General features: G+C 41.3%; 1 protein-coding gene across 11 annotated transcripts in view, besides 6 other annotated features; it reads right to left on the bottom strand.

Moving 5' to 3' along the window:
- BBX (BBX high mobility group box domain containing) overlaps nt 1–12531 on the bottom strand; it is a 288378-nt gene extending 275847 nt beyond the window's left edge. For 7 of the 11 annotated variants that reach the window (XM_024453646.2, XM_011513001.3, XM_047448599.1 and 4 more), the window contains exons 1-2: nt 12386–12531; nt 9095–9166 (exon numbers count right to left, since the gene is read on the bottom strand). The gene's annotated coding sequence lies outside the window, so the exon portion shown is untranslated. Of the gene's footprint in view, nt 1–9094; nt 9167–10002; nt 10106–11298; nt 11620–11841; nt 12048–12240; nt 12335–12385 lie in introns of those variants that run through there. The other 4 variants (XM_024453648.2, XM_024453647.2, XM_005247642.5 and 1 more) reach the window with 4 other exon arrangements.
- Nucleotides 9942–9991: an enhancer, noted in NCBI's record as "active region_20204". NCBI's record gives its function as "activates an Ori minimal core promoter by ATAC-STARR-seq in GM12878 lymphoblastoid cells {active_cell/tissue: GM12878}" and the evidence as "EXISTENCE:reporter gene assay evidence [ECO:0000049][PMID:35858748]".
- Nucleotides 10192–10401: a silencer, noted in NCBI's record as "silent region_14590". NCBI's record gives its function as "represses an Ori minimal core promoter by ATAC-STARR-seq in GM12878 lymphoblastoid cells {active_cell/tissue: GM12878}" and the evidence as "EXISTENCE:reporter gene assay evidence [ECO:0000049][PMID:35858748]".
- Nucleotides 11855–11924: a silencer, noted in NCBI's record as "silent region_14589". NCBI's record gives its function as "represses an Ori minimal core promoter by ATAC-STARR-seq in GM12878 lymphoblastoid cells {active_cell/tissue: GM12878}" and the evidence as "EXISTENCE:reporter gene assay evidence [ECO:0000049][PMID:35858748]".
- Nucleotides 12035–12124: a silencer, noted in NCBI's record as "silent region_14588". NCBI's record gives its function as "represses an Ori minimal core promoter by ATAC-STARR-seq in GM12878 lymphoblastoid cells {active_cell/tissue: GM12878}" and the evidence as "EXISTENCE:reporter gene assay evidence [ECO:0000049][PMID:35858748]".
- Nucleotides 12155–12464: a silencer, noted in NCBI's record as "silent region_14587". NCBI's record gives its function as "represses an Ori minimal core promoter by ATAC-STARR-seq in GM12878 lymphoblastoid cells {active_cell/tissue: GM12878}" and the evidence as "EXISTENCE:reporter gene assay evidence [ECO:0000049][PMID:35858748]".
- Nucleotides 12865–12914: an enhancer, noted in NCBI's record as "active region_20203". NCBI's record gives its function as "activates an Ori minimal core promoter by ATAC-STARR-seq in GM12878 lymphoblastoid cells {active_cell/tissue: GM12878}" and the evidence as "EXISTENCE:reporter gene assay evidence [ECO:0000049][PMID:35858748]".

Below are 14070 nucleotides of genomic sequence, written 5' to 3'. Positions count from 1 at the left end.
TTAAAAATAACAGCTGCCATAGACATTTCTATACTAGATATACCAACTAGAAAGAAAGCTGACTAAACATCAATTATATACTAAGTTTATAAACAAAGGCTTAGTCTTTGACAATGATCTTACAGATGAAAATTTACAAGCCCCAGGTCAGAGACTTTTTCACGTAACTTTCCTTACAAGTGATAAAGTACAGAGTTTCAACCTTATTACTTGAAAATGAAGACCTCTCTTCTAGGAGAAAAAAAAAATTGGGGAGAATTCTTAGCTAAAAGTTGTCCCAAACCTTTCATTTTTAACTTCTTGGAATGTGGCCCTAATGGCAGGTAAATAGAGAAAAAGCCTCAGGAGATTGTGGCACTGCAGACAGGCAGTCTAAACCTGGCATGATCACTTACCAGCTGTGCGACTTCAGACAAGTTATTCAACCTGAGATTTAGTTTCCTTGTCATTAAAATCGAGTATTTATCATCAGAAAGTTGTTGTGAAAAATAAAGTAATAAAAACAAAACTGGGCCTCATAAGGCAGCCCTTAGTCCAGATTATCTTTCTCCCTTCCTCCTAGTGTAAAATACTCTTTGGGAAACTTCTAAAAACTGCATTCAACTTTCCTGAAGTTTAAATGAAACTGTGTAGTCATTCTATCAACCTAAAACTGAAAATGTTTGGATAAGGAGTTTATTTCCATTATTTCATAAAAACAACAGGTGCCTTAATTTCACAGAGCCCTGATAAAGGTTCCTTATAATCCCTTCCTAACTGACACTTTCATATGTAGGGATGTGTATAAGTCTCAAGCTCATTTATCAACAATTTTTTATATAGGCAGTGATAAATACCAAAAGGACTCAAAAACTACAAATCGATCTTTAAACTCAAACAAAGGTGTTTTAAAAAAGGAAAGCTCAACTCCCTATTCCCATTCTAAAATATTTTTATGCAGTATCACAGATGCACATTACCAAACATAATAGACTGGGAGAGAAAAAAAGAGATGAGAGAGAGGAAGAAGAAGAGAAGGAGGGAGGGAAAAGAAGGGAGGGAAACCCTAGGAGGGAAGAAAGAAAATGATAATTTCAATAACTCAAAAGATAATCAAAGTCTGACAGCTGGATGTAAAGAATTATTTTCTCATTTTGTTCCATGCTCCACCACATTCCCTCTGCAGTCCATGAGAACTCTACACTTGGGTGAGTTTTGAGAGGTGCACCAAAAGCTGAAAAACAAGCCAGCATTTTTAATATTAAAAGAATCAGCATTGCTAATAAGAGTCCCTCTGAATTACTTAATCTGTGGCTTTCCTACACCAAGGAATGTAGTCATGTAAATAAATAATGAAAGCCCTATCAATAAACAATTCCTTAGCATTAACAGTTCCAGTCTATATCAAATGAAGACTGACTTAAGTCTTACCATAACAAATCAGATAAAGCTATTACTTTATTCCTAGATTGCCATATAGACTCTTCCCCATGACATATTTTTCATTTTTCTAAAGTAGTTTTATAGGAAATTAAAAGGCAAGATCTGAACATTTCATAATTAATTATTGAAAATAAAGGTATCTAGAACCTCTACAAAACAATATAACCTGAAAACATTCTCATCTGAGAACAGACTAAATTACAGAAAACACTGTCTATTTTTATTTTCCTGATAGATGGAAAAAAAAATGTGCAGGTAGCAGTATAATAAAGGAAATATAACCTCTAATAACAATAAACCATTAATGAAAGTAGCCTTTCATAATTACATAAGAAACATAAGAAACATTTTTCAACATGGTACAGGTTTCAAATGTTATGCAGATTTTAGTGTGTGTTTAATAAAACTAAAAACAACAACAAAGGAATCATCACGTCAAAATGGAATATAAGAGGTTCAGTGAAATGTGAACTAACCAGGTTCTGCCTGAGTTTAAGCTTTCCTTACCCAGAAGCCTTTAACTTGGCTCAACTTAGATGGTACAAATGATGTCAATGACTACCATTTTGCTTACCTGACTTTATATCCTTATGCCTTACACCTGTACATTTGGAGCCACAGGGTTTCAGCAGACAGTCTGATTGAGGTAATATATAATGTTAAAAAATCTTTCATCATTTGTTAGCTGGCAAGGAACTTAAATTGTTCAATGATCAGTGATCAAAGTTAGCAAAATAATTTTTCATTGGGTTAAGTGGTTAGGCATATCAGAGAATTTCACTCTACCAACCAAGGAAGTTAATGCAATAGGATCACAATCCCTTATTTAAAACCCTTAGGTCCTGATATGCTTCAGGATTCAGATTTTTGTGGGGTTTAAAAAGGCAAAATGGTACCTATAGCACATATTACATAACATTCCTAGCTATATCTAGGATAATACCTCACAATTAATCAATATTATTATTTCCAGCAAAATATGTGAATATTCTAAGCAGGCTTGAAAACTACTTTAAACAATCCCATGACAGTATGGGTTAGGTTTTGCTACCAAATGAGTTTTGATACCACACTTCTGAAGGAAAAAAAAAACTTTTAGTTTTTCAGAGCTTTTTAGATAAAAGATTGTGAATCTATTTCCAATACTACTACATCAAAGTACTGAGGCGTTTTCAAAATATAGAGAGCTTATTAATTTACCGGAGATCAAAAACGTATGGCAAATTAAAATTTAGCAAAGTGGGAAGACGTTCCTGGCAAATATAACCTTAAAAATTAGGAAATGCCAAAGTCACTTAATTTTGATTTATTCACATAAATTTAATGATTGTTGAGACTACTTAAATTTTTGTGTCAATGTGTATTTGAGTACGACAGTACCATTTGAAAACCCTGATACCTGTAGTCTTCTGTATTTTCTGTACATTTCCCCAGCTTTTGGTTTTCACATTGTTTTGAGATTTCAGGGATTTAATGTATTCCCCATTTATCTTCTCCTTAGCTTGCCCCTCTTTTCAAGTGCCTATTTTGTGCAATGTAATTTGTTAAGCACTACATATGTAACACTTCTCAATCTCCATGCCTTGACACAAGGATGGGTTTTGTTTATGAGGAACACCCCAATTAGAACAATTAAAGTACCATAATTTACAATTTTCCATGTGTTTATTAAGTATATTCGAAGTTTTCATTATAGCACCATTCTCACTTGCAATTTGATATGCCTTTCTTGACTTTTTTTAAAAAAGGAGTGGCTTTATCACACTGTGAACTACCTATAAAACTCACAGCATAATTTATCTGTCTGTTAACCAGGGGAAATCATAATGTCCCATATGTAAACATTGGTCACATGTTTTTGTTTTGGTTTTTTTTTTGAGACAGGACCTTGCTCTTTCACCCAGGCTGGAGTGCGGTGACACGATCATGGCTCACCGCAGCCTCAACCGTGCGGGCTCAAGTGATCCTCCCACCTCAGCCTCCGAGTAGCTGGGCCTACAGGCACACACCACCACCCCCAGCTAATTTGTTTTTATTTTTAGTACAGGCAAGGTCTCACTATGTTGCCCGGGCTAGTCTTAAACTCCTAAGCTCAAGCAATCCTCCTTCCTCAGCCTCCCAAAGGGCTGGGATTACACATGTGTCTTGACGGAAGAAAGTTTGAGAACTGATACTCTAAGACATTCTAATATCTATAAGTCACCAGAGAGAATGCCCTGTGCTGACAAGGGAGAACTACCGTGAAATATGAAAAGAGCTGTTCTCTCATCCCATACTCTACTTTTTTAAAGAGGTGGGAAAATCATTCCCCAAACCTGAAGGAGGACTGTACTTTACTGTGGCGTGCCTCAGCTGTGCTTGGCTTTTCTCCTTCTGGTTACTCTTATTATTTCCTTCCCTAACAAATTACTTGTCCAGCACCTCATGTCTAGTTAAAAACATACCCATGTTTCATGATAACTAGAGGTGAGAATCACTTTAGAGAAAAAAAAAAAACTAAAAGGCTTTCAGAAATTTCAAACAGTGGAGGGTAGGGTGAGATGAGATGTAATTACAAAAACAGAGACTATATATTGAGCGCTAACTGTGAATAAGGGTCCTACATTCATTACTGTCTTGTGTAATCCCCATATTATTGCATGGTAAACATTACCATACCCATTGTGCACATATGAGAATAAAAGTTTAAGGGATGTGAGGTAACATGCTCAGAGTCCCGCAACTAATAAGCAATAGAGGCAGCAGGAGTGGAACCTAGAGCTCTTTGGTGGTACGGCCTCTGTTCCTTGTACTACACCTTCTACTACAGGAGCACCTACAGAGGGTGATGAGGACCTTCCTCAGTATTGCAAACATACTGACTGAAATACAGCCAAAGAATGGTGAAGATGCAAGACACCTCATAAAGTCAATGAACTTCAGCCCCACATTCAGAACATCCAATCTTAGGCCATCTGTCCTTTGTACTGAGGTTTCTCAAAGTCAATTGGAGGACCTCCTACTTGCTTTAGAATCACCTGCTACATGTGCTAAAATCTAAATTCCATGGCCCCACCCCAGAAACACTGAATGAGAATATCAAAGGATGAGGCCTAGAGACCTCCATTTCTAAGAAGGCAAGCAGGCACTCTAGGCCAGTGTTTTTCAAACTATAAGTCATGAAATCAATTTGATAGATAATACCTAGTATTTTTTGTTTAATAAAATGGCTTGAAACAGATTGGATTTATAAAGATTAGTTAGGAATAGAAAATATCAGAGGGCACTGCACTTTGTCCTGTTTCAGGAAACTTGTTTCAGTTCTTTTATGTGGATTGGGATGTTAAAGGTATTTTTTATAATATACCTCAGTCAAAAGTATTTGAGAAATACAGCTGTTTTGAATAATTTTTACCCCATTCTTATTTCTCCTCTAAAGTAGGTTATTGGCCTTTTATTTAATTATTCCTATTACAAAAAATGCAACCTTGTATGTTCCTTTTAAGAGTTCAGTTATTCTGTTCCAGGAGTTTGTTTTATTCCCTGAACTTTTCATCCGAGGACCATGTTTAACCATTGGCTTAATTATTTAATCAACATTTTAAAATATTTTTAATTTTTTAAGATTTCATAAAATCCAATTCATTCTCATTGTTACTTTGTGTTTTTCTGTTTTGTTTTGTTTTGTTTTGTTTTGTTTTGTTTTGGAGACAGAGTCTTGCTCTGTCGCCCAGGCTGGAGTGCTGTGGCACAATCTCAGCTCATTGAAACCTCCAGGTTCAAGGGATTCTCCTGCCTCAGCCTCCCAAGTAGCTGGGATTACAGGTGCCCACCAATACACCTGACTAATTTTTGTATTTTTAGTAAAGACAAGGTTTCACCATGTTGGCCAGGCTGGTCTCAAACTTCTGACCTCAGGTGATCCACTTGCTTCCGCCTCCCGAAGTGCTGGGATTACAGGTGTGAGCCACCAAACCTAGCCTGTCACTTTGCATTTTATACAAACCTTCTCATTATCTGAAGTCATTTCACTATCTAGATTCTCGAACTTACATATTTTAACTTATTAAGTTTACATTTTGGTACATTTGGTAATATCAATGCTTCATGGTCTACATTTAATCTTTTAAGTCTTTCATTCTCTCATCTTCTATTTATATATACTTTTAGATGAAATTCTTTACTGGCTTGCTTCTTTTGTATTCTCTCACATAACTGGCACTTATTTCAATTCTTACCTGTTTCCTTGAAAGCAAAAAAAAAAAAATGAAGACAATCCCCATTAATACATGAGGATTTTCTGGGTATATCTGTACAGTTTTAAAATGATGTACTGGCATTTCAAGGAAATATAACTGCCTTCTAAAGGATAATATCACATATGAACATTGAGCGAAGTTGTAATCAAAAAGTGCTTTCCACAGGTATGACTTAAAATACAGAAATACTGACAATTAGACACAGTATGTGATGACTACCCTTGAGGTAGTACAACACCCAGTGACTGAATGACAGTCACAGAATCTTCAAGCTGGAAGAGCCTCCATTCAGTCTCAGTCTTTCTCTTTACCTATTCCCTTCATAGCAGTGTTGCTCAGTGTACTGAGGACTGCCTGCATCTGATTTCCCTGGGACACACGATAAAAACAAAGCAGTAAGATTACAATGTCCTTAGTAAAGTTGAGTTTGTTTTCATTTCATAGTGACAAGAAGGAATCTGACAAAAAATACAGGAGAGATACCACTCAGGCCCATTTCAAAAGGTACCCTCAGTGGTGAAATGTTAAACAATGAGATGGACTTCAAGGTACAAGTTCAAGAAAAGCATCTTCCTCTTAAGTTAAGCACCTGCTTAAGGTTAAATCTTAAAGCACAGGTATGCCACGTTGGTGGTAATGTAATATGTTAAAATTAATGCCTATATTTAGTAATTTGGAGCATTTGATGTAACAATTGTCAACATTTTATATACTTTTTTAAGACACTAATAATAACTTCAGGGACTTCCTGTAGTACAGCAAAAAGGCACATCTGTAATGGAACTGTTTTCAAAAAGTTCTTTTTTTAGTAGTATAGAGCTGTGAAGCCTTTACCATTTCTATTAAAGATTTCTAATATAAAAGTAATTGAAATTCATGACAAGATCTACTTAAAAATATACCCCTTGCTTTTACCCATGTTCTTTATGAAATGTAAGAAAACATATACTGTTAGTAGGCTGACTATTGACTAGTAATTAAAAATTGCCTGTGATTTTACTGAAAAGTGTGGCTTTATAAATATTTTAGCTACTGAGTTAGATTTTCATGAGTTGCACAACATCTTCAGACCTATTTATTTTTACAACATACAGAAAACTTATCAACTACGTAGTTACTTACGGCACAGGCCAATCGTAATCATATGTGCAACCTCATTTTCATTCAAAGATATGTTCTAAATTCAATGTCTACATGAATCTGTTTTAATGGATTAAGTATAAAAATCAGATCTATAAGGTCAAAAGTGCTATATATACCATTTTCAAAGTATGTTAAAAGCACAGCTATCTCAAAAACTCATATACCTTGAACAAAAAAATGGATACGAAGATCAAGATACATTTTCTTAATGTTTCAAAAATTGCAAATTTTAAAAAACATCTATGTCTCTAGAGAAAGATTTTTCCTAAAACTGCCACAGTACCTCCAAAGAGGTAACACTAGGAAACAATATAGATGAGCCACCTTTTCAATAGCTAGCATTAAATGTGAAATGCAAACTAGGGCTTCAGTTTCAGAACCTAACAGAGACATGCAGAATAATAAAATGGGAAGTTTGGAAACACTTGGAAATGGAGAAGCAAAAACGTCTTTAAATTCTTATTTTGATAAGTAAGCCTCAAATCTAATAGATACATTTTAGATGCCAATAACTGGCAATTCATTGTCAAAATGACTTTTTTTAGATCACTATTACAAGATTTACACTATCAGAACTACTTCACTGACTTCAAAGTCCAAGACTGTTCTTGAAAATATTGTTTTAATGAAGCAGTCACTTGATATCTCAAAGAAATACAAGCACTTATCAGACTTTTATTCTCAACATTACTAACCTATCATATTAATTTCTGAATTGGTCAAACACATTTCCATGGGGAAGGAATATTAACAGTTTGTTGCAATGAACAAAATAATGTGCCTAACAGTATAAATGTGGTGTTCTTTAGTAATCAAGAATGCATTTTGAATACTCTTGCCCAAAATGAAACTTTTCAAACAAGCTTTAAAAAAACTCAAAGACAATGAAATCCATGTATTTTAGTGTGCACTAAATTCAACTTATAGAACCTTCTCATTTTGACACTCCGATTGGCCTGCTATGTATGTGATGTATTCTGAGCTCTTAGTGAACAAACCACCTAATTATCAGCAGTAATGCAATATTTATATTCCATAGAAAATGTTCGATGCAAAACATATACAGATTATCTAAAGTTCTCTAGATTTTCTAAATGTTCAATGCAAAACTTACATAGATTATCTAAAGTCTTCAATAACATGAAAGTATATTTTGTTACCAAATGGACACTACCAGAAAGGTCTAGTCCTCTAACTCAATACTAAGACAACAGTTTTATATTCTTAATACAAAGACAATAATTTTGTTAATGTACACATTATGTCAGCAATCCAGGAAACACCACAGATGAGGTCTCTAAATTTTCTTTCACAGAAAAGTAAGTTCAAGTTCATTTTCATTCACAAAATACAATCTCTAAATTCACTATGGTAATATTACAAAGCACTACAGCTGATTTACACAATTTAGTACTAGTTTCCAAACATCAACAACTCAAGAGTACCTGGGGTGTTCCTTTACAATGGAGGGGCAAACTTACAAGGTGGTTTTCTGCAGATTAGGCTCACTGTGCTGCTTTCAAATGCTCTGTAAACCCTCAGTTCTTACCCACACTGTTACCTCTCACAAATTTTCCACACACTTACTGTCCCACACATATTTTGCAGATTTTTCCACTTGGGAGTCATATATCTGAAAAAGGCACTTAACAACAGATCTCAAAGTCTTTGTTTATTAAATTTACAGGCTACCGAATTGTTCCTAATTTCTCCAAACATGTAAGTTTTAAAAGAAATTATGATCAATTTTGAATCAAATTAGTGCACTAAACGCTAGATTTACCACACTGCCAATCCCACCTTTCCCCACCCCAAAAGTAACTGTTACAAACACCACAGGTTACTCAAGAAAGAGAACTTGAGAGAGAGTAAGCAAATGTCAGTCACTATAATTAGAGGACTTCTGCACAATGCTTCCTTGGGTTTTTAATAATTCTCTCCACTCATACACTGCACTCTTCCTATAGTATTGTCTAGCATTAAATTTACTAGACCTTCAATGCCATGTAAAATTTCATTATAAATTAAAATGTCTATTTGAGAATAAGTTTTGAAACGACAATTACTTGTAGATAAACACAAAATGAATATTTACTATCTTAATAATAACCCACAGCTGAATTCTAAACACTAAGAATCATAAACTGACTTATGCTGTGGGAAACTCAGTGAGACAAGGTTTCTGGGGTGCTGTAACCCCAATAAAGCATCTTCCTCTGTGAACAATAAAGACCCTTATGTCATTACTAATTGTCATCCTGCTTCCCTGTACGAACAGTTTGCATACTTACCCAGGAAGGCAAATGGAAAGTACACAGGGAGGAAGATGAACTGCGGCAAAGCCTTTGTCATATGATAGTGACCTATAAAGTATCAAATAAAGGTACATCATCAGTATAGTAGGGCTTTACAATAGTACAGTCCCAAGTCCTGTAACATCTATGAAGAGAAGGTACCAAAACCCAGGAGTCCAGCTCCCACTAACCCCTCCCCTTTCTCTACCACCCCCCGACACTGGAGAACTGTGGGAACAGAAGGCAAAGAAGCTCCCCGTATTGAAAGGGCAGAGGCTGGGGGGCAACCCAACTGGCATTCTAGGGTATCTCCCGTACCCTCGCTTCCTACTCCCCACATGTACAAAGCAGAAAGTTGATCCATTCTGCAAACGCAAAAACCACACCGCGATCATTCATCAACTTGCACAAGTGATCACCGCCCCCAGGACAAACACACCAGTAACCAAATCATAGGGATCGATAGGCAGCCCGAGCCTCGCCTTGCCCAGGAGACGGCGGGAGGTGCCACCGCGGCGGCAGCGGGTCCAGGTATCGAAGCCCTCAGCCTTTCAGACCTGGGCGGCCACTGCCGTCTCCCAAACACCCAGCCCGGGTCACAATCCCCAGATTGGAGATAGGAACCGACCAGGGAAAACACATTCGCCAAAGCCCACAGCGGCAAGTGCAGGGCCACCAGGTCTGCGAGGTCGGGGTGGGGGGAGCTAGGAAACAAGGAGGGAGGAAGAGAGCGAGGGATCCCACCCCGGCTTTGTTGCTGGTCACCATCAAGTTTGCATCTTAGTACAAAATGTCGATCTTAAAGGCTGACAAGACAGAGGCAGAGGCAGTGGGAGAAAGAGAAAGGGAATAGAGTCCATCTTGCTTTGGGAAAGAGGGGGGAAGAAAAAATGAAGTGCAAATACCACACTCCGGGCGTAAAAGTCTGCTAAACACCTTTCCATAACGGAGGAGCAACGAGTGGGGTGTCCCCGTGCCCGTGCCTGCTCGAACTGGCGGCGGTCTGGGCAGAAAACGCCTCCCTCTCCTCCTCTTCCTCCTTCTTCCCCTCCTCCTTCTCCCTCTCCTCCTCCTCCTCCCGCGGGCCCCGGCGAAGATCCCGCCGCCACTGCCTCTGCCTCCGCTGCCCCCCAGGGAGGCACCGCCGGCGCCCGGCCCGGCGCTGCCATTCCGGGCTTGGACCGCGCGGCGCAGAGCGCGTGGGGCCGGACCCGGGGTGGCCGCGCGGGGACGTCGGCGCCGGGGACCCCCGGCGCCCCTGGGCCGCTGGCTGCCTACAAAAGTCGCGCGAGCAGAGGTGGCGGCGGCGCGCAGGGGCGGGGGGCCGCGTGGGGGCCCCCACGCCGCCAGTGGGCAACCCCAGGAGATGGCGAAGAACGCCCCTCCCCGCGCGGGGAAAGTACCCCAGTCCCAGTCAGCCACCCCGGGAACGGCAGCCCGGCGTCCGCGGCCGGGAGAAGAGAACTGGACGTGTCATTAGCAGGACAGGCAATGGTTTCAAAGCCCCAGGCCAATGACCATTAGCAGAGGCAGAGCTCGCTCCGTCCCCATCCCCCACAACCTCCACCCACCTTCCCCTTCGCCCCCCCCCCCACCTCCACCCCACCTCGCGAAACTTTTCAACAAGATCCACCTGGACTAATTTGTCCACAGACAGTTAAAATATTGACTAGACCCTACACACTGGGAAGGAAGGGGAATGCACGCTTTATTTTCCTTCCTACAGAAAGGAAAGCAAAAAATAGCTTCTCTCTCTGTCTCTCCCTCTCCCCCCCCCCCCCTCTGTCGTACATGTTGTGTCTTAGCTTTTTGCATCGTTTCGTTTTACCTTCCTCATTTAGCAGAAATGATCGCGGCTATTTCACACATAAACGTGTTCCAGATTCTGGGATTCAGGGTCCTTGTAAATTACAGGACTCGGGTTCGGTCTCAGTTATGTTAAGTTTCATACAATACCAAAAAATAAATAAAATATGATAATAAATTTCAGAGGGTGAGTGAGCGAGACGAGGTGGAGGAGGAAAAGAAACCTCGAGTCTGATTTCTGTAATTTACTAGCGACCCGGATCGCAGCAAATAACAGTGTAACACGAGTGTGGCTTAAGAGGGCTAGGGAGCTCTTTCTAGAGGCATCGACCCCATCCCCGGATAAAGGATCTGCAAGTTTTCTGTCATCGCGACCAGGCAAAGCCGTAACTTACCTTCAGAAATAAGACTTTAAACGGCCAAGGCCTTCCTCCTCCCCTCCACCACCACCCTCAGCCTCGCTCTCTCCACCTTAAACTTATTGACACAACATAATCCCACATTCAAGCAAAATCCTGACACAGCCTCCCTCCTCCTCTTCCCCCTCCTCTCTTCCCTCCCGTTCTCTCTCTCCCTCTCTCTCTGTCTCCCTCTCTCCCCCCCCTTCCCTCCCTCTTCTCTCTCCCCTTCTCCCTCGCCCTCTTCCCCCTCTCCCCCTATTCTTCCTCCAGGCTACTCTGGCACTAAAACAGCACTTTCTCTACTCGCCGCGCATTTGGGTAGGGGTGGGGGGTGAGAGGGCACTGATCTGCGGGGCCGGAACACCCAAATCCCAACTCTCCAGATGAACGAGCAACTGGGCTGCTGTTCCCGGTCACCAACGCAGACGAAACGTTCAATAAATCCACCGAAGGCTGGCTCCTCGTACCTTCCTCCACTGCCCCTGCTCCCCAGGCCCCACCTCCCCGGCAGCCGAGACCAGGCAGGGCTCCACGTACTTTCGCCGAGATGAAGTTTGGGGCTCCCCGGGCGGCCACGAGCCGCCCGCCGGCGTGAGGGCTCTGTTGTTGTTTTCCTGGGGCCGCTCCAGCCCGCGCCCCGGCGCCCGTGCCCCTCTCAGGCGGCGCTGCCTGTGTGCCGAGAGGTGCTGGTTGCAAACGCAGCCTGGCACCGGCTGGCCTACTACTCCCCAGCCCGGCCCCCAGCCTCCCGCTCGCAGGGCACTGCCTCAGCGCCCCCCGCCCCCCGGCCCCAGCCGGCGCGGCCGCCGCGACCCTCGCCCCCGACCTCTCCCGACCCAAAGTTTTGGCGGAGGGGGAAAGTGCCCAGGGAGCGGGCCGGCTGGCGGCGGCTCCGGACGCGCGGGGTTCCCTCCGTCTTCCTCAAGTCCACCCTACCGGCTGCCGCCGCCGCCGCCGCCGCCGCCGCCGCTGCTCCTGCCGCGGAGTCCTTGGGGCTGCAGCCCGGCGGCTCGCAAGTGAGTAGGAAAACAGAAAGTGAGGGGAGTGCGCCCAGGGAGGGCTGGGGATGGGGGGCGCCTACCTCGCGGGCTCGCCGGGCGTGAGGGCGTGTGTGTAGCTAGCCCTCAGCGGCCAGTCAGGGTTTCTCTATGGGAAAGTGGAGAGAAGCTCGCGGAGCCGCTCTGCCTCCGCTTCACTGTACACTGCTCCACATACAGTACATGCAACCCGGAGAGACTGAAAACACTCATTTTATATAAGGCAGCCTGCCATTGGCCCGCGCAGTGACGGACAGGCCGCGCAGCCAAACAAGAGGCCCGTTACACCCAAACACACGCACACATACACACATTTTACAGAGACACACAAAGATCATCACATTTTCTATTTTCTAATGTTCGGGACCTGTAGACAGTAGGAGAGGACAGGTAAAGAGGCCCAGCAGAGTGGGGTAAAGGGGAAAACCCCTGTCTGCACCAAGTTGCAAGGCTTGAAACTGGTGTCCTTTTGACTTGGGAGGGTTATGGTAATAAACTACAACTCCACTGGATATGGAAGTGAGGGGGGTTTTTCATCGCTGCCTTTTGGTGCCCCATGGAAGAGGCCTGCATTGTGTTACGATTTTACAGCCTGACCCGGCTAACAAGTGGCCAAGAAAGGCTTTTATCACCTTGGATTTCTTTTGTCAATGGGTTAGCTATCACATAGGCCAAAATAGTGCAAGATAAGTTTATCAGGACTCTAATGCATTGAGGTTGTTAGTGCCTCATTCGTAGGTAGATTCAAAAAAATCAATATAACAACACACAAAGATAAACATTTTGCTGAAATAGCCAAACAACTTTTAACTGGTCAGTGGACTGCCATCACCTGTGTGGACATGCAAACTGTGCTGTTAGGTAAAATAAGTCATGGAAGATTGGCTATTGACCCTTAGCCTTCAAAACAGACCTTTGATTCAATATATACATGATTTATATTTTGCATATTATATATAAAAATATATGACTCTTTACATATTTCACATCTCATGTGAACATCATATGTTGCATGACTTTTGGAGATGATGAACCTCAGGACTGGTCTTTCTGATTGTTTTTCAACAATGCAACTTCAGAAGATTATATGAGACAGTTCAATACACATAAGTCAACAGGTTGGTGGAAAGAAGTCAAAGCTGGAAATTAGAAGGAATAAATTGTAGATTAAACTCTTTAACCAGCTGAGCAATCTTGAGCAAGTTACTTAACCTCTCCAATGCTCAGACTTGGTTTTGATTTTTAAGATTAAAATAAGAAGCTTTTCCAGATTCCCTCAATTAAATGTTTATTCAGCATCTACTATGTGTCAGGCATTATCTTAGGCCTAGATGTTTTCTTAGGGTTCCTTCCGTTTTAAGAGTTGGTGAATTATTCTCAAATACAAACATTTTGGAGATTACATAAACACTACGATTTTATGGCCTAGGTAAGTAGCTTTAAAACTTAAAGAAAACCCAACTAGGGCAACTTATTTCAGTTCCCCTTTTATTTCCTTGATGCTGTCTTAAGGTTTTTCTCTCGCATCCATAAAGTTGTTAAAAGAGTGTATGTGTGCATGTGAGCACTCCTGTGTAAGAGGGAGAAAGAGAAACAAAATCAGAAAAGTTTAAAAAGTTCAGAAAACAAAGTGGTATTTAGAAATGTGATGTTTATTTTTTTAGAAAAATCATTTTTAAAAGGAAAAGTATATAAAAAATCACAGCATTTTATTTTATTTTATTTTTGA

The sequence above is a fragment of the Homo sapiens genome, chromosome 3, assembly GCF_000001405.40.
Source record: "Homo sapiens chromosome 3, GRCh38.p14 Primary Assembly".
Taxonomy (NCBI): domain Eukaryota; kingdom Metazoa; phylum Chordata; class Mammalia; order Primates; family Hominidae; genus Homo; species Homo sapiens.
Note: the sequence above shows the minus strand (reverse complement) of the source record. Positions and strands in the feature narration are given on the sequence as shown.